The sequence below is a fragment of the Homo sapiens genome, chromosome 17 (assembly GCF_000001405.40).
Source record: "Homo sapiens chromosome 17, GRCh38.p14 Primary Assembly".
Taxonomy (NCBI): Eukaryota; Metazoa; Chordata; class Mammalia; order Primates; family Hominidae; genus Homo; species Homo sapiens.
The window spans coordinates 8927122-8947248 of record NC_000017.11 but is presented as its reverse complement, the minus strand read 5'-3'; the positions used below and the strand labels follow the sequence as shown (position 1 = coordinate 8947248).

General features: G+C 42.8%; 1 protein-coding gene across 12 annotated transcripts in view, besides 3 other annotated features; it reads left to right on the top strand.

Moving 5' to 3' along the window:
• PIK3R5 (phosphoinositide-3-kinase regulatory subunit 5) overlaps positions 1–20127 on the top strand; it is an 86792-nt gene that overhangs the window by 18459 nt on the left and 48206 nt on the right. The window lies entirely within an intron of this gene.
• Positions 5089–5168: an enhancer, noted in NCBI's record as "active region_11718". NCBI's record gives its function as "activates an Ori minimal core promoter by ATAC-STARR-seq in GM12878 lymphoblastoid cells {active_cell/tissue: GM12878}" and the evidence as "EXISTENCE:reporter gene assay evidence [ECO:0000049][PMID:35858748]".
• Positions 6916–6985: an enhancer, noted in NCBI's record as "active region_11717". NCBI's record gives its function as "activates an Ori minimal core promoter by ATAC-STARR-seq in GM12878 lymphoblastoid cells {active_cell/tissue: GM12878}" and the evidence as "EXISTENCE:reporter gene assay evidence [ECO:0000049][PMID:35858748]".
• Positions 7606–7715: a silencer, noted in NCBI's record as "silent region_8190". NCBI's record gives its function as "represses an Ori minimal core promoter by ATAC-STARR-seq in GM12878 lymphoblastoid cells {active_cell/tissue: GM12878}" and the evidence as "EXISTENCE:reporter gene assay evidence [ECO:0000049][PMID:35858748]".

Sequence of the window (20127 nt, the reverse complement as noted above, 5' to 3'; positions counted from 1 at the left end):
TTCATTTAAGAGCCCGGCTCCAACCTAATCAGCTACCAAGCTGCTATCCAGGCAAAGATTCTGCCAGTCCTAAACCTTGGCTCTAGGTTCATTTTTTGATGCACACGAGAAAAGCCGCATCTGTATCTCAGTCAGGCGGGGTGTGTGATCCCATCCCATGCGCTTCTCTCTCATCTTCCTTCAAACCTCTTCATCTTTCAATTCATTCATTCAGCAAATTATGTGCCAGGCACTCAGCTGGACCCTCATGGAGCTCACATTCTAATGGGGCTGGGAGTTACAGAAATATAATGAGAACAGTACAAAAGCAAAATGTATCGTATGTCCATGGGTGAGGGAGATGTGGGAAAAAGTAAGGCAGGAGGCAGCCGAGATGGGGCTTGTCAGGAGTCCTCCTTGAGAACAGAAGAAGGGAAACAAGTGAAGGAGTGAGCCAGGCAGACACCTAGAAGAAGAGCACTCAGGCAGAGAGAACGGCAGGCGCGAAGGTCCTGAGGCAGGAGAGGCAGGAGTGGGCTGCTGTGCTGCTGTGGTCATTCGAGTCCTCAGAACATGGCGGGGCACATGCTGGCATGTGAGCAGCTCAGCATTTGAAATGAAGTGCAGTGTATTAGTCATCTTTGCAGCTACCACAACACGCAGCAAAGCATCTTGTGCTCATATTCACTTGGTAAGAATTTTTATTTGAGTAAACACACTTAGGTTGGACAGCCTCTGAGGGCCCTTCTGCCTCTGAATTGCTGTGATTATCTTGGATGCCTTATGGATGGTGCTGTCTCATAGTAGTTTTCTTAGGTGCCTGGCAGACGGCGCCATCTCCTAGTAGTTTTCATAGGTGCCTGGTGGATGGCACCATCTCCTAGTAGTTTTCTTAGGTGCCTGGTGGATGGTGTCACAGTAATTTTCTTTCTAGTAGTTTTCTTTCTAGCTTTTCCATCTGGACTTTTCTGAACACGTGGTCTAGTGGCTTCTGGGCATGTGACCTGATCTCGGTAAGCGGCTGGCACTCACACCAGATGGACCTGGTCTCGGTAAGGGGCTGGCAGTCACACCAGATGTGTATGTTCCAGATACATTGCTGTGTAACTACCTACCTATCCCAAAATGCAGCAGTGTAAGATTGCAACGGTTTTATTATGCCCGTGGATTCTGTGGGCCAGGAATTTGGGCTGGGCACAATAGGGATGACTTGCCTGTGTTCAGTGATGTCTGGGGTCTCAGCTGGGAAGATCAAACGGCTGGTAACTGAAACTGTAAATGAGAATGCCTACAAGGGGCCTCTCCATGTGGTTTGGGCTTCCTTACATCATGGCAACGTCCAGATGGATAATCTAATTTCTCACTTGATGGCTCAGAGCTCCAAGTTCAAACCTTCTGGCAAACAAGACAGTAGCTGCATGGTCTTTAGTGACCTAGCCTTGGAAGCCACACAGCATCACTTCCGCTATAATCTGTTTTGATTGTGGCAGTCACAAGCCCACCCAAGTTTAAGGGGATGGGAATAGATTCCACCTCTTGATGGAGAAGTGGCAAGGCTGTAATGTAAAGGAGAGGTGGGATGGGAGCTATTGTTGGGATCATCTTTGGGACATAAAATCTTATAAGTACTTTCTATTTTTCTGGGGAGGAGTTCTCATTTTGTGTTGTTTCTGGACTACGGTGGATTTGAGATGTCTGCTTTGCCTCCTGTCTAGCAGAAACTCCCAGTGCAAGGTGGTTGCTGTGATGCCCAGCCTTCCTCTTCCCACTGCTGCTAGCAGTCCTGTCCCAGGCTCTCTCTGGGTCACCAGTGAAGCCTCGCTTATGAAGGAGTAGCCAAGGGGCTGCCAGGTGGAGGGAATACAGCCCTGGGACCAGTTTCTCATTCCCTGAAGGGTGTGAGTGTGTGTGTGTGTGGCTGGGGTGGGAGGCAGACCTACTGATTGTAAGGGAAGAATCTCTTGGAGCTAGTGTCAATCAAATGACCCACCCCAGTGGCTGGTTTCCTGGCACAACTCCTAGGCCTTAGCTGTGCCTCTTGAGTGTATAGGAAGCCAGGGCCTGCCAGGGAGTGAGTGTTCCTGCAGCTGGGGAGGATGTAGATCCCCTCTTCGAAGTGGGGTGAGGGGCCGAGCCAGGGTTTGGCTAGAAGCCTGCCACAGCTGAAACAATGAGAAAGCTTTGCCAGGTCTCTGGGCTGCTCCACAGCAGGGCTTCCTGGACCCCCAAGCACCAGCATCTTCCTGGAGAGGAAGAACCTCTTCCACACCCTGACTTTCTCAAGTGTATTCATTTGCTGTGGACTTGCTGGACGTTCATCTGCTAACCTCAGCAGGAAATTGCGGAACTAACACATTAGGGCGTAAGTGTAGGCCATTTTTCCCCAGTCACATGTCTCAGTGCCTAGGTGTAGGTCCCTGGATATAGTTACCTGTGTGCCACTATCACAAAGTTCCAGGATGGCTAGATATAGGAGGGTCCCAAGAATTGCACTTGAGAAGGCTGAGGAACTCTCCAGCTCCGTGTCCTGGTACTTCCGTTAGGATCACCCGTGTTCCTGCCCTAGCCAGGTGCCTTTGAAGCCTGAAGACAGGTCTGGAGAGTAAAGATGGATATAGGAGTGGTCCCATGTTCCCATTTCACCAGAGGGTATGTTCCCACTCTTCATTCCCCAGGGAAGGAAAAACACAACCTCATCATTCCAGAATAAAATCATGGAATGCTAGTGCCTGAAGGAGCTTTATTCATAAATTAATTCATCTTGCTCCCTTTACAGAGGATGTGCTTCTGATGATGGGCACACAACAGATGCTCAGCAAGTATGTTCCCTGTTTGAGAAATCACCACAATGCATCATTCTGCATGAAGACACATGCATGCATATGTTCATTGCAGCACTATTCACACAGCAAAGACATGGAATCAACCTAAATGCCCATCAACAGTAGACTGGATAAAGGAAATGTGGTACATATACACCATGGAATATTATGTAGCCATGAAAAAGAACAAGATCATGTCTTTTGCAGAAATGTGGATGGAGCTATTATTCTCAGCATAATAGATAACATAATAGAATAACAGGATGTCTGTTATTCTTAGCAAACTAATGCAGGAACAGAAGACAAAATACATGCTCTCACTTATAAGTGGGAACTAAATGATGAGAACTCATGGACACAAAGAAAGGACCAACAGACACTGGGGCTTACTTGAGAGCAGAGGGTGGGAAGAGGGAGAAGATCAGAAAAAAATAACTATTGGGTACTAAGCTTAGTACCTGGGTGACGAAGTAATCTGTCCAATAAACCCCCGTGACACGAGTTTACCATAACAAAACTGCACATGTACCCCCGCACCTAAAATAAAAGTTAAAAAAAAAAAGGAGTATATTCCCTAGGGTACAGCAGACAATGTTTCAGAATTATTGTCAATTTGCCAGGTGTGGTCAGGTTGGAAGGTTGGAGAATGTTTCTTTTATTTATTTTTTCTTTTTTTAGATGGAGTCTTGCTCTGTCACTCAGGCTGGAGTGCAGTGGCACAATCTCGGCTCACTGCAACCTCTGCCTCCTGGGTTCCAGCGATTCTCCTGCCTCAGCCTCCTGAACAGCTGGGACTGCAGGTGCGCGCCACCACACCCAGCTAATTTTTGTACTTTTTAGTAGAGACGGGGTTTCACCCATATTGGCCAGGCTGGTCTCGAACTCCTGACCTGATGATGCATCCGCCTCGGCCTCCCAAAGTGCTGGGATTACAGGCATGAGCCACCGCGCCCAGCCAAGAATGTCTCTTTTCTTGAGAGATGTGTGCTCAAGTATTAGATTGAACCCCACGAAATTGCTAATATCTTCTCATGTTTAATATGATTCAATCAAGGCCAGGCATGGTGGCTCACACCTATAATCTCAGCACTTTGGGAGGCCAAGGCAAGGCAGGAGGATTGCTTGAGGCCAGGAGTTTGAGACCAGCCTGGACAACGTATTGAGACTCCATCTCTACAAAAACAAACAAACAAACAAAATTAAAAATTAGCCAGGCTTTGTAGTGCACACCTGTAGCCCCAGCTACTCAGGAGGCTGAGGTGGGAGGATTATTTGAGCCTGGGAGTTCAAGGTTGCAGTGAGATGTGATTGTGTCACTGCACTCCAGCCTGTGCAACAGAGCGAGACCCTGTCTCCTGACGAAAAAAAAAAGAAAAAGAAAAAGGTTCAAGCTGATGTTTAGGAGTGATGTGCTATGATGTCCACAGCCTGCAACTCACTTTCAAATGTTTTAGCAAAGTGTGTGTGTGTGTGTGTGTGTGTGTATGACGTGATCTGCTTTGTCCAGCTGGCGCAGCAGCCAAATAAGAATAAGGCTGACAGGGCCGGGTGCAGTGGTTCACACCTGTAATCCCAGCACTTTGGGAGGCCGAGGCGGGCGGATCATGAGGTCAGGAGATCGAGACCATCCTGGCTAACACGGTGAAACCCCTTCTCTACTAAAAAATACAAAAAATTAGCCGGGCGTGGTGGCGGACGCCTGTAGTCCCAGCTACTCAGGAGGCTGAGGCAGGAGAATGGCGTGAACCCGGGAGGCGGAGCTTGCAGTGAGCAGAGATCGCACCACTGCACTCCAGCCTGGGCGACAGAGCGAGACTCTGTCTCAAAAAAGAAAGAAAGAAAGAAAAAGAATAAGGCTGACAGGAGATGAAGGCTGCATAGCTTCCCTCTGTCTTCCTTCCTCCCACCCAAGACACCTCACCCCCTCCTGCAGACTGTCTTTTGAACCTGCCCCTGTCAGGGTGTTGGTGGGGCTGAGCAGAGCTCCTGCAGATGGGGGGTTGTGGCATGGGTGAGGTGGCAGGAATGGGTGAGGCAGCAGTGGGGGCAGGAGCTGCAAGGAGGCTCCGACTATGGGTGGAACAGAGAAGAGGCTGCAGGGTGGGGGCAGGGAGGGGCTCTCCAGGGGCAGCTGTGTATTTCTGGATGGGGTCAGGCCGGCAGAGGTCAGGTGTGGTTTCCTGGGAGGTGGCCAAGATAGGAAGGGGCACAGGTCCTGGGGTCACTAGACTGATTTCAGCCCCAGCTCGAGGGTCTGCCCTTCCCTCTAGGGGCTTTTGAAAGACCCCAGGACCCTGTGAGACCCTCTGCAATGGAAGGGAGAGAAGCTGGAGATGGGATGGGAGATGAGGGCCCCGTTGTGAGGAGCTGGCAGGGTGACCTCGCCTCTACCTGAGCTGTCAGCTCCCTGTCTCCAAGGAAACCCGGCCCCCTGAGCCTCCCTGAAGCCCCCACGCCCATCTAACGGGAAATTCTCAGAGAATTCAGATGGTCATGGGAAAGTCCATACATGTAAATCCTCCCGAAGGGTCTTCTGAGTAAATAGGGGGATCTTTCTGTTTTCCCCTGTCCTACTGCCTGCATCTCGATGCCTGCATTAATGCAGCAGGCAGGATTGAGGGAGGCCGTAGGATGAACTGGCTGACAGGTGGTGACAGGTTGATATCCACAGGCCGCAAGCAGCAGGGACAACCACGGCAGGTGTTCCCTAGAGGGTTCCTGGCCACACTCCTCTCGGGATCATTGCCCTGCAGACCCTGCCGCCTGCCCCGCCACATCCTGTGCCACGGTGCCGCGTGGGCCGCTCTCGAAGCACAGGCCAGATGTGCAAATTCTGCGGCTGTGCCTGGGGGCAAGCGCAGCACAGCTTGCTTTTCTTGGAAATCATTGGTGATTTGTTAGAAAAACAGGAAACATTGGGGCTGCTGGTGTACATTTTGACTTTTTTGTTTTTGTTTTTGAACTCCTTTCATCTGTCTCAGAATCAGGGTGTTTTAAGGGTATTATTCTGTTCAACTTAGTCCTTCAAGCCGTCTCTGGTCACTCTTCCCTCTCTGCACATCCCCTTTTTTTCTTTCTCCTTCTTGTCTTCTGCTGCCTTCTTCCCCCAACCCGAATCACTGCGTGGGGAGGGGGCCAGATCCAGAGAACCATGGAAATGTGCTGGTGAGTCACCTTGGCCACGTGCCTCTGTGGAGCCTGGCCTCCCTGCACCTGCCTCCCTACTCTCTGCCTCCCCACCAACCCCATATCTATCCCGCTACACCCCTCAGTCATGGTGGTTAGACAGGAAGCAAAGTGGTCTCTGCACAGTAGGACCTGCTGCAACTGGGACAGCTGGAGTGGCTCCCATTGTCCTGCTGCTGACACACAGGGATGCTGTGGCTGTGATCAGAAGTTGTTCTTCCCTGCTGGGTCACAGTGGAGCTGGAGGGGCCCTCATTTCTTTACCCACTGGAACACTGAGGCTGAGAGAGGAGCGGGGATGCCTTGAATAAAGAAGAGGAAGGGGTGAGGAGGTCTGGGTCCACACTCTGGCTGTGTCCCAACTCAGCTCCTCCCTGCCTCTCTCTCAAAAACACAGCAGGGGCCAGGCACAGTGGCTCGCACCTGTAATCCCAACACTTTGGGAGGACGAGGCAGGCAGATCACCTGAGGTTAGGAGTTTGAGACCAGCCTGGCCAACGTGGTGAAACCCTGTCTCTACTAAAAATACAAAAATTAGCCAGGCATGATGGCTCATGCCTGTAATCCCAGCTACTCGGAAGGCTGAGGCAGGAGAATCACTTGAACCTGGGAGGCGGAGGTTGCAGAGCCGAGATTGCACCAGTGCACTCCAGCCTGGGCAACAAGAGCAAAACTTTGTCTCTAAAAACAAAAACAAAAACAAAAAACAAACAAACAAAAAAACCTTAGCAGGCAGGAGGCTGGGAACTGTGGTCGTTTTGTGTATGGGATCTTCAGGAAAGTGTTACAAGGCTGCTGTTTGCTGGCGTCCCTTCGTGAGTTTTCCTGGGTCCCATCTTGTCAGGGATGAGCTCTTGAGGATGGCCGGTGGTTGCTTTGGGATTGTTCTTAAGCCTTCTTGCAGCAGCTCTGAACTTCATAATGTACCACGGTGGAGAGACTCCTCTCCCATTTTATGGTCAAGTAAACAGGTCCAGAGAGGTTCTCCATTCCCTAAACAGGCCCCAGTGAGGTGAGAAGGGCAGGGCCTCCCACGTGCCCAGCTGCTTGCCCCAGGTTGGGGGCTCTTCCCTGCTGGGCTCTGCTCCTGGGTTTTCATCAATGCAGGAGGCTCTGACACCACACCTTCAGCCAGGCCCCCATCTCCCAGGGGAAGCAGGCTTAGGGGCTGCCCTTGTGAAGTCATACAAGAAGCCTGATATGAGAGATTAGAAACTCCCCGCAGCTCTCTGGGGGTTGTTTTTAAAAGGAATTAAACTGTCCTGAGAGAGATGTGTAAGACTAAGCTGAGATGGGGACCACCATGAGAACTGAAACACTCTATTTGGAGCTTTCCAGAAATACGCAGATTTGAGGAATTCTGGAGTAGGGAAGGACATTGGGGCAGGAAGGTGACCCCTTCTCACACCAGGACTCCAGAATACATGAATATCAAAAGGCAATGACAGTCCCTGGGAGAGGGAGGGGCCACGTTCCCATTCCTCTTGGCTGCACAGCTTCTGGGGAGCAGAGATTCTCAGCCAGGCATCCGTGAACTTGGATGGAGAACACGTGGCATCGTTATTTTCACTCACCTGTAACTGAAGTTCGCATTTGAACGTAGGCAAAAACCACAGTCATATCAGTAGCACCTGTGACTTTGTCACCAACAGAAATCCAGATGTTTTCGTGTCACTTTGAGGTTGCAGATACCTCAAATGTCATTCATGCTCTTTACTACGTTTAGGTGATCACAGTGATTAGACTCACTGCTGGGCTTTTATTATTTCATGTGTTAATGAGAAGAACGTATACTCCCATTTCATAAATCTGATGATTTAAAAATAGTTTGACCATTGTATTTCAGTGTAACTCATTTCCTTTGCAATTCTGTGTATTTTATTTCATGCATTTAAAGCATTATTCTGAAGAGGGGTCTGTAGATGTCAGACTGCTGAATGGTCCCATGGTGCAAAAAAGTTTAGGAATTCCTACTGCTGGAGCAATTGGGTAGAGAATTCGAGGTGTTACCTGACAGCTGGGGAGGGCTTTGGTGTTCGGCAGGCCTGAGTTAGCATCATTGCTCTCACTTGCTGCAGATCCTGAGAAAGTGACTTTATCTCTCAGAGCCATCGTTTCCTTATGTGTAAAACAGAGATGAAGAATGACCACCTGGAAGGATTGTCCCATGTGAAAGTGCCTGCCTCTTCCAGCAGCTGACAGGTAGTAGGAACTCACTGTGGGTAGTAGCTGATGGCGGTGGCACCAGCTTATGTAAGCCCACAAGACTCAAGCAGGATTCTCTTTTTACAGAGGAAACTCCAGGCTACGTTCATTTCTTACTGTCCCTCATGTAGAAAGGTAAACTTGGGTCATACCTGGATACTGTCTCTCATCTTTTTCTTTTGCTCTGAGCAAGTAGCTCCCATGTATCCAATATGAATCTTGGTCCATAAATTCAAGCATTTGAGAAATAAAATTACAAATATATACTTGAAATGCTTCAAGTGTATCTGAGAAATTCTTGGTATGTCCACACAGTGAAATATTACTCAGTCATAAAAAGGAGTAAGTACTGTTACATACTACGACATGGATGAACCTAGAAAACATGCACTAAGTGAAACAAACCAGATGCAAAAGACCACATATCATAAGACTTCATTTATATGAATTGTCCAGAATAAGCAAACCCATAAAGACAAAAAGTAGATGACTGGTTGCCAGAGGATAAGGGGAGGGAGAATGGAGAGTGATTGCTAATAGGTATAGGGTTTCTTTTTGGAGCGATGAAAATATTCTGGGATCAGATAGTTGTGATGGTTACATACTTAGTGAGTATAGTAAAAGCCGCTGAAGGGTATTCTTTAAAATGTTGAGTTTACGTTACATGAATTACAGCTCAAGAAAAAAAGTAAAAATCACTGCCAAACCTATGGACATTGAAAAGATAATAAAGGAATATTATGAACAACTCTATGCCCACCAATTTGCTAACTTAGATGAAATGGAATAATTTCTTATTTCTATTAAAACTCATACAAATAGAAGTAGATTATCTGAATAGGCCTATATCTATTAAATAAATTGAATCAATAATCTTCCAAAACAAAAAAGTTTCAGGCCCAGATGGTTTCACTGGTGAATTCTACCAAACATTTAAAGAAAAAATGGCCGGGTGCGGTGGCTCACATGTGGAAGCCCAGCACTTTAGGAGACTGAGGCAGGCAGATCACCTGAGGTCAGGCGTTCAAGACCAGCCTGGCCAACATGGTGAAACCCCGTCTTTACTAAAAATACAAAAAATTAGCTGGGTGTGGTGGCAGGTGCCTGTAATCCCAGCTACTCAGGAGGCTGAGGCAGGAGAATCACTTGAACCCAAGAGGTGGAGGTTGCAATGAGCCGAGATTGTGCCATTGCACTCCAGCCTGGGCAACAAGAGTGAAACACACACACACACAAAAGAAAAAATGATGGCAACTCTCTACAGTCCATTCCAGAAAATAGAAGAAGAGGGAGTGCTTCCTAACTCATTCTATGAGGCCAGCATTACCTAATACCAAAACCGGACAAAAATATTACAAAAAACGAAAACTACAGATCAATATCTTTCATTAATATAGGTGTAAAAATCCTCAATAAAACATTAGCAAATTGAATCCAACGATACACGAAAAGAATTATAGATCACAGCTAAGAGGGATTTATTCTGGATATACAAGGCTGATTCAATATTTGAAAGTCAACTAACGTAGTTAATTACATCAACAGGCTGAAGAAGAAAAATCATAAAACTAGATACAGAAGAAACATTTGATAAAGTCCAATACCCATTTATGATAAAAATTCTCATCACACTAGAAATAGAGAGGAACTTCTTCAGCTTGATAAATACTTATACAGAAAACGTACAGCTAACATTATGGTGAGAAACTAGATGTTTTCCCCCTAAGACTGGGACCAAGGCAAAGATGTCTTCACTTACCACTCATATTTAACATCGTACTGGAAGTCCTACGTAAAGCAAAAATATAAGAAAAGGAGATGAAAGGTATACAGATTGGGAAGGAAGTTTCTGTTCACCAAATAACATGATTGTCTATGTATAAAATCCCAAAGAATCAACAATGACAAAAAACAACATTCCTGGAACTAAGCAATTATAGTAAGGTTTCAGAGTGCAAGATAAATACACAAAAGTCAAGTGCTTGCCTATATACCAGCAATGAACAATTGGAATTTGAATTAAAAATACAATACCATTTACACTAGCACCAAAAAATGAAATAATCAGATATGAATCTAACAAAATATATACAAGATTTATATGAGAAAACAATAAAATGGATAAAAAAATCTACAGAAATCTAAATAAATGGAGAGGTATTCCATGTTCATGTATAGAAAGACTCACTATTGTTAAGCTGTCAGTTCTTTTAGTTTTATCTCTAGACTCGATGCAATCTCTATCAAGACTCCAATAAATTACTTTGTGAATATTGACAAACTCATTCTAACACTTATATGAAAAGAAAAAGACCTAGAATAAACAACACAACATTGAAGAAGAACAAAGTCAGAAGACTGACATTACTAACTTACTAAGACCTGCTATAGAGACTTGTAAGACTTACTATAAAGGTGCATCCATACAATGGAATATTATTCAGTGGGAAAAAGAAAAGAGCTATCAAGCCATGAAAAAACATGAAAGAATCTTAAGTGCATGCATATTGCTAAATGAAAGAAGCCAATCTGAAAAAAACTACATACTGTATAATCCCAACTATGTGATGTCCTGGAAAAGGCCAATCTATGGAAGCAGTAAAAAAGAAGAATGGCTACCAGATGCTGGAGGGAGTAGGATGAATAGATGGAGTATAGGGGATTTTCTGGGCAGTGAAAATATTCTGTGATACTGTAATGTGTATTGATATTATATATTTGGAGAAACTCATAGAATTGTACAACACAAAGAGTGCACCCTAACGCACACTGTGGACTTCAGTGACTACTCTTGTATCAATATTGGTTTATTAATTTTAACGAATGAACCGCACTAATGGAAGATATTAATAATAGAGGAAACTGTGGGTGGGAGGAGGAAGGAGAGGGAGTATATAGGAACTCTCTGTACTTTAATATTTCTATAAACCTAAAACTACTTTAAGAATTAAAGTCTATAAAAGAAATAGAAATAAACATTGTCTCCTTTTTTTTTTTTTTTTTGAGATGGAGTCTCGGTCTGTCACCCAGGCTGGAGTGCAGTGGCGCAAGCTCAGCTCACTGCAATCTCCGCCTCCCGGGTTCACGCCATTCTCCTGCCTCAGCCTCCCGAGTAGCTGGGACTACAGGTGCCCGCCACCACGCCCGGCTAATTTTTTGTATTTTTAGTAGAGATCGGGTTTCACTGCGTTAGCCAGTATAGTCTCGATCTCCTGACCTCGTGATCCGCCCGCCTCAGCCTCCCAAAGTGCTGGGATTACAAGCGTGAGCCACCATGCGTGGCCTTGTCTTCTTATGTTGACTGAAATCCGATGCCAAGCCCCATCCTGCCAGGAGCTGTCCGGGAGCTCAGAGCTGTTCACTTTCCTGCCACAAACCTTCCTCAGGATGGTTGCCTTCTTATTTAGCATGGGGATAGGGTGAGGGGAGAGCACAATGTACAGAAAGAAATAAATTAATAGAAATATAAATTATCCTGTATTTGTACTCTGAGGTCTTAGGAACAGCTCCGGGGAAGCTTGGGTTCTGACCTGAATCTCTTCCTTTGGCCTCTGGCAGAGGAAACAAGGAAGGAAGCAGGTCTCCCAGGCAACCTGCCCACACTGTGGGTGGCCAAAAACGACTCGTTCAACACCTCTGAAGACTGACTCACTGGGACGTTGCAATAGACGTGATTTCCCCTTGAAGCCAGAGGAATATCCCCTATTGCTCATATGGTCATAACATCATGGGCCTATATTTGGGCGGGGCTTTCGTTTGCACACTCATGTAACTTTCCAGGGAGAATCTGCCCAGACCCTGTGCCAGGCACTGGGGTTAGAACCATTATGTTAGATGGGACATTGACGTCAGAGTTGAAAGCCCGCTAGAGAAATAGGCAGTTATAACGCAGGCACAGTGGAAGCAGAGATGCTCTGGGAGCTGAAAGGGTGGGGGTGGACATCCAGCCAAGCCTGGAGGTCAGAAGATCTCCCCTGAAGAAGTGACCTGGAAATGGAAGACAGAAGAATGCATATTAAGATCCACATCAGAAACAGGGGAACATGGTGGAAATGTTTCAGGCAGAGGCAGCACATGCAGGAAGAAGTTTTATGGAGAGGAAAGGTAGAGGTTTGAGACTGACTAGAGAAGAAGGGCACAGAACTCTTGGGGTCCAGTGAGCCATGTTATGGGCTTGAGTTTTGACTCAAGGCAATGAAAACCCAAAGGAAAGGTTTCAGAGGGCTGGGAGAGAATGATGTAATCAGATATGCTTTCTCAGGGACAACCGTGCATAGAACAACATGTATACTATGGTTCTATTTATGTTTAAAAACCCATGATACGACTTATTGTGTTGATCTACGTGTGCTTAAATCGTCAGTACCAGATTGTCTTGATTACTGTAGCCCTAGAGCAAATCTTGAAGTCAGATAGGATGAGTCGTCCAACTTTGTCCTTTTCCCAAACTGTATTAGCTATTTTAAGTCTTTGGTATTTCCATATACCGAAGGCATGTTATTCATTTCTATTTTTTAAAGTTTGCTGAGATATTGACTGGGATTGCATTGAATCCATAGATGAACTTGGAGGAAAACTGACATAATATCAATATTGAGTCTTCTGACTCATAAATGTGGCATATCTCTCCACGTATTCATTGATTTATCTTAGCAATGTCTTGTAGTTTTAATGGTGGGGGTTTTCCACATTCTTTGGTAAATTCCCTAAGAATTTTGGCTTTTTGATGCTATTATGAATGGTGTTTCTAAAAACTTCACTTTCAAATTGGTAGTTATTAATATGTAGAAGTACAATTGACTTTTAAATACTGACTTTGTATTCTGTAACCTTGATAAATTCGCTAATGGTAGTTTTTAATAGATTCCTTAGGATTTTCTAAGTATACAGTCATGTCATCTCAGAGTAAAGACAGCATTACTTCTTCCTCCCTGATATATACGTGTTTTTTCCTTGCCTCATGGCAATGGCTATGACCTCCAGAACAATGTTGAGTAGGTAAGAACAGACATCCTTGCTTTGCTCCCAATAGTAGGTGAAAAGCGTTCAGTTTTCACCTTTAAGTATGATGTTAACTGTAGATTTTTCATAGATGCTCTTTATAAGTTTGAGCAGTTCCCTCTTACTGAGGGTTCTTATAAACGGGGGTTGAGTTTTTTCAAAGGCTTTTTATGCATTCATGAAGTAGTTATGTGATTTTTTTTCACTCTTCTTTATTAATGTGGTGAATTACATTAATTTTTGAAAGTTGACTTTCAGTACAATGACTTTCAGTACAACAACTTTCCAAGTACAGCATTCCAAGTGGGTAAGTCCCATTTGGTCTTTTTATATATTTTTACTTATTTCGGAAATGATTATATTTATATATTTCTAGACTTCATTTTTAATTGTTTTGATAAGAATTTTTGCATCTTGAAATGTAAAATGAGAGATATTGATCTGTACTATTCTTTGTTTGGTAGTGTTCTTGTCTGGTTTTGACATCAGGATTATGCTGGTTTCATCAATGAATTGGGAAGTGTTTCCTCTTCCTCTATTTTATGAAGGAATTTGAGTAAGATTGATATTATTTCTTTCTTAAAGGTTTGATACAATAGCTTTTTAAAAAGCATTTTTAGTAATACATGTCTGCTGGTGACCATCTTTTCAGCATCTTTTTGTCTTCAAATGTCTTTATCTTCATTATTTAAAAATATTGTTTTACCTATAACTTTCTTCACTTCCCAACCCTTTGATTATTTTTATAGTTCTTTTCATGAAAAATTTACAAACATTAAAATGTAAAAAATTTAACTGTACAATTTTGACAAATGTGTACATCCATGTCATCCACAGACCTAACAATATATAAAACATTTCAATCACACCATTAAGTTTCCTAACTTTTGTTTTTGAAGAATATTTCCACTGGATATAGAATTTTAGGTTGAAAGTCCTTTTTTTGTTTTGTTTTTCTTTAAGCACTATAAAGATGTATATCACTCTATCCTAGTTTGTGTTGTTTCTAAGAAGTCAGTAGTTTTTCTCGTTGTTTTCTACATACAATGTGTCTTTTTCTTCTGGCTGCTTTTTGAGATTTTCTCTTTATCTTTGATTTTCAGCAATTAACTATGATATACCTAGGTCTGGTTTTCTTTGCACGTATCCTTCTTGGGTTTTTAGAGCTTCCCAGATCTATGGGTTCATATTTTTTATTAAATTTGGGAACATTTTGGCCATTATTTCTTAAAATATTTTTTTCTGCACCCATTTTCTTTCTTCTCTCTTTTTGAGACATCAATTACATATCTATTAGAACTTTTGGTTGTGCTCAGAAGTCACTGAGGCTCTGTTCATATTTTGAAAACCTTTTTTATTTTCTATATTTTAGTTTGAATGGTTTCTATCGTTTAAGTTCACTGATCTTATTCTTGCAGTGTCCAGTCTTTTATTCAGTCCATCCAATGAACTTTTCTTTTCAGAGATTGTGTTTCCTTTTGGTAATAGATTTCCATTTGGTTCTTTTAAAAATAGCTTCCAGGCCGGGTGCGGTGGCTCACACCTGTAATCCCAGCACTTTGGGAGGCCGAGGTGGGCAGATCACCGGAGGTCAGGAGTTCGAGACCAGCCTAACCCACATGGTGAAACCCTGTCTCTATTAAAAATACAAAAATCAGCTGGGCATGGTAGTGCATGCCTGTAATCTCAGCTTCTTGGGAGGCTGAGGCCAGGAGAATTGCTTAAACCTGGGAGGCAGAGGTTGCAGTGAGCCGAGATCACGCCACTGCACTCCAGCCTGGGCAGCAGAATGAGACTCTGTCTCAAAAATAAAAAAAAAAAGGTTTCCAATTCCCTTCTGAGATTTCTCCATCTGTTAACTTGCTCTGTCCATTTTTCCTTGAAATCTCTGAACATATTTATAATAGATGTTTTAAAGTCTTTGCCTCCTAATTTCAACATACCTACTCTCTTTGGTTTTTATTCATTGAATTACTTCCCTAGTAATGAATTGCATTTTTCTTCATCTTCATCTGTCTAGTAATTTTTTCAGTGTATTCTAGGCATTATGGATGCCACACTGTTGAGCGTCTGGATTTTCTTGTTTTTCTTTAAAGAATTGTATTCTGCCAGGCAGTTAATTTATAGGTGGATAAGCAGGATCCTTTCAAGTGTTTCTTAAAATTTAATGGATGTCTAGATGTCAAGAATTACCTTCCTAGGATCTCAGATGAATGACTGAGGTATCCAGTGAAGTTCCTCCACCCTGGCTGATTGGAAATCCAATGTCTCCCAGCACTGTGCAACTTCTAGAACCTCTGTTCAACTCCAGGCTTTCCAGTAGCTGTTTCTGCCAGGCTTCATGAGGTCTTACCCTGCACAGCTTAGTATTCAGCTAATGTCTTCTTGAGCTCTTCTTTTTCACGTTTCCCTCTTTTCCAGTTCCTTGCCCCACACAGTCCAGCCATTTGTAGAGTTCCAAACTCCAATTTCTGTCTCCTCAACTCGGAAAGCCCCCTGTACTCTGCTTGCATTCTACCTCTATGCTTCAAACAACGGAAGTGCCTTCCAGCAGAAACCCAGCGAAATCAAGAGGCTCCCCTTGTGTGTTTCCCTTCCCTGAGGGATTACAGTCCTGTGCTTGCCTGTTGCCCAGTGTCTATAAACAGTTGCTTCAGCTGTTTTGGGTAGTCTTATAATTGTTCATGGAGGGAGGCTTAGTCCAGTGCCAATTATCCCTTCTCATCTGATGGTGAAAGCACCCCTTCTTTTGGGTGGACTCTCGAATATCACCTCTTTTATGAGATAAATCTATTTGAGTATGATCTGTGGGATTTTAAAAAATAAAGTTTTTAGAAGGATAAAGATCAGACTATTGGTAGTGGTTATTCTAGGTAGTTTTAAAGCTTATATTTTAACATTTTAAACTTATCTGTACAAGGCTTTTAAGTTTTGTTTTTTAATTAGACTTTTACATCTTGAGATAAATCGTAGATTCATATGTCATTCTATGAAATAATAAAGAGAGATCCTTTGTACCCTTTTCTCAGTTTGCTCCAATGGTAACATCTTGCAAAACAAATACGACAATATCACAACCAGGATATTGACCTTGATACAGTCAAGATATAGAATATTGCTATCACCACGAGGATCCCTCATGTTGCCCTTTTTTAGCCACACCCACTTCCCTCCTGCACCTGCCCTAATGCTAACCCTAGCAACCACCAATATGTTCTCCATTTCTATAATTTTGTCACTTCAAAAGTATTGTGCAATGAAATAATATGTTACGCATTCTTTTGGCATTGACTTTGTTTTTATTCAGCATAATTTTCCGGAAGTTAACCCAGGTTGTTGTGTGTATCAATAGTTATTTCCTTTCAATTGCTGAATAATATTCCATAGTATAGATGGACCATAGTCTGTCGAACCATATTCTAAATTGAAAGACATTTAGTTTGTTTTCAGTTTTTGGCCATTTTGAACAAAGCTGTTATAAACATTCATGTACAGGTTTTCGTATGAACATAAGTTTTCCTTTCTTTGAGATAAACGCTCAGGAGCACAATTGCTGGGCCATACAGCAGTTTTAATATATGTTATTTTGTGATATAAATTTCTCTCTCTGAACTACTTTAACTGTATCCCACCAATTTTGATACATTGTACATTCATTTTCATTCCTTCAGTGAATTTTTGGATTTCTCTTGAGACTTCCTCTTTGGCCCATGAATTATTTAGAAGTTTGTTTAGTTTTTGAGTATTTGGAGATTTTTCTGTGATCTTTCTATTATTGATTGCTAGTTTGATTCCATTGTGGTCATAGAATGCACTCTGTATGATTTCAGTTATTTTTAAGTAATTGAAAGTTTGGTTGTTTTAAGGCCCAAGATATGATCTATCTTAGTTTATGTTCCGTAAGTACTTGAAAAAAATGTGTATTCTGCTGTTGTTAGGTGGAGTGCTCTAACATGTTTATTAGATCCTGTTGACTGATAGTGTTGTTGAATTCTTATGCATCCTTGCTGATTTTCTTTACAGTTGTTCTATCAGTGGTTGAGAGAAGGATGCTGAAGTCTCCGATTATTTCTTGTTTTTTACTGTTTTTAAATTCGATCGCTTTTGGGGTACAGGTGGTTTTTGGTTACATGAATGAATTGTATAGTTGTTAAGTCTGGGATTTTAGTGGATCCACCATCTGAGTAGTGTACATTGTACCCAGTAGTTGGTTTTTCATCCCTCACCCCCTTCCATGTCTCCCCCATTCTGAGTCTCCAATGTCCGTTATACAACTCTGTATTTCTTTGCAAACCCATAGCCTAGCTCCCACTTAAAAGTGAGAACATGTGGTATTCAGTTTTCTGTTTCTGCCTTAATTTCCTTGAGATAATGGCCTCCAGCTTCATCCATGCTGCTGCAAAGGACATGATTTTGTTCTCTTTTTTTGGCTGTATAGCATTCCACTGTGGCAGTCCCCACTTATAATTATGAGTTTGTCTATGTTTTCTTTCTGTTCTCTCAGTTTTTGCTTCACATATCTTTTTGGTGTGAACACATTTAGGTTTGCTGTGTCTTTTAGTGAATTGACCTTATGTCATTATATAATGTCCCTCTCTGCTTCTGGTAATTCTCTTTGCTCTGAGCTCCACTTTATCTGATATTAATATAGCCATTGCTGCTTTCTTTTAATTAATGCTTGCACGATATATATTTTCCCACCCTTTTACTTTTAATTTGTCTATATATTTATATATAAAGTGAGTTTCTTGTAGACAGCAAATGGTTGGGTTATGTTTTATAATTCACTACAAATCTCTGTCTTTTAATTGGCTTATTTAGTCCATTTAAATATAATGTAATTACTGATATGTTAGGGCTCAAGTCTGCTATTTTGTTATTGGTTTTGCATTTTTTCCTATGGACTAACTGAACATTCTTTAGAATTCATTTTTTATTTTATCTGTAATGCTTTTATATATATCTATTTGTATAGCTTTTTGAATGGTCACTGCATATATTGTTACTTATCACAGTCCACTGTTATCATTTTACCAGTCCTAGTGAACTGTACCTCCCTTTATTTCCCTTTACCTGCCTCCATTTATAATATGATTGTCTTAAATATTTACTCAGCATACATTTAATGCTACATCAGACTGTGTTATTTTTTATTCAGCCATCTAAGATAACTTAGAAAACTCAAGAGGAGAAGGAAAATCTATTGTATTTACCCAGATTTTTCCCTTTCTTATTATTTCTTCCTGATGTTCCAAGATTTCTTTCTTTTATTATCCTTTTTTCTGTTTAGAGAATTTCCTTTGGCCATTCTTCTAGAGTAGGGATGCTGGTGACAAATTATTTCAGTTTTTCTCCCTCTGAGAGTATCTTGATTTCCTCTTCATTCCTGAAGGATATTTTTGCTGGATATTGGACTCTAGGCTGACAGTGCTTGTCCTTCAGCAATTAGAATATGTTATTCCACTTCCTTCTAGCATTCATAATTTTTGATGAAAAGTACACTGTCATTCAAATTATATTTCATCTAAGATAAGGTGTTGTTTCTCTCTTGATCCTTTCAAGATTTTTTCTTTGTCTTTAGTTTTCAGAATTTTGACTATGAGATGTCTTGGTGTGTATTTCTTGGCTTTATCCTGTTTATGGTTCACACAGCCTCTTAAAACTGTAGTTTTATATATTTTGCCAAATTTGACAAGTTTTATGTGATTATTTATTCAAGTACTTTTTCAGCCCTGCCTTCTTTCTCCTCTCCCAGGAGGTTCTCCTCTTCAGGTTCCACACTCAGCCTCCATTGCCAAGTTTTAAGTGATTATTTCTTCAAGTAGTTTTTCAGCCCGGCCTTCTTTCTCCTCTCCCACTGGTACTCCAATCACATGAATGTTAGACCTTTTGTCTGACATTACTAAGGGGTAGAGTGGGAGTTCCAGCTACCTATTAGGTTTTGTCTTTGTTTGTGCTGCTATAAAGGATACCCAAGGCTGAGTCATTTATAAATAAAAGAGGTTTATTTGGCTCACAGTTCCGCAGGCTGTACAAGAAGCATGGCATCAACATCTGCATCTGGTGAGAGCCTCAAGCCACATGCAGTCATGGTGGAAGGTTAAAAGGAGCTGGTGTGAAGAAATCACATGGTGGGAAACTGGGTGCAGGGGGAAGGTGCCAGGCTCTCAGGGGAACTAAGCTGGTTCCCAACCAGTTCTCAGGAATGAAGAGTGAGTACTCACTCACTCCCATGAGAATGACACCAAGCCATTCAGAGAGATTGGCTCCAACCATCCAAAGACCTCTCACCAGGCACCACCTCCAACACTGGAGATCAGATTTCAACATGAGACTTGGTGGGACCAAAAAAAAACATATCTAAGTTCTAACAGGCCTCCACTGATACGTCTCTGGCTAGAAACGGTAGGAGTGCCTCCTTACAGCTACAATGCCACCACAGCAGAGGGGATGACCTCATTACTTCTGGGCAGTGGTAAAAGTCTTGACTCCCTGCTAGGCTTCCTCTGACATCATCTTATCATGGAGGTGTCTCTTTACTGTCTGGTGGGGGTGGAAGTCCAGGCTCCTCACTGGTGTCCACTAACACTGTGGAGTGGGAGGGGGCTAATTACCGCTAATGGAGATAAAAGACCTGGCTATCTACTTGGCTTCTTCAGACAGTGGCCATGGCAGGGGATTTGGGGAACCTCATTACGGCCTGGCCAGGGTGGAAGTCTAAGCCGATTAACTGGCTTTTGCTGGTGGAGGTGGCACCACAATTTTCCCTGTGGAGTTTGGCTGGAATAGAGCAGGTATTGTCTAAAAGTGTCTGTCTTGCTAAGTTGCCTCTTTCCTCAGGCTTTGGCTAGAGAGAGCAGGCTTTTGTGAGGGCTTTATTTTAAATCTGCACCCATTTTTTCAGATTGCTGGCTGTTCAGCTCCAAGTCTGGAA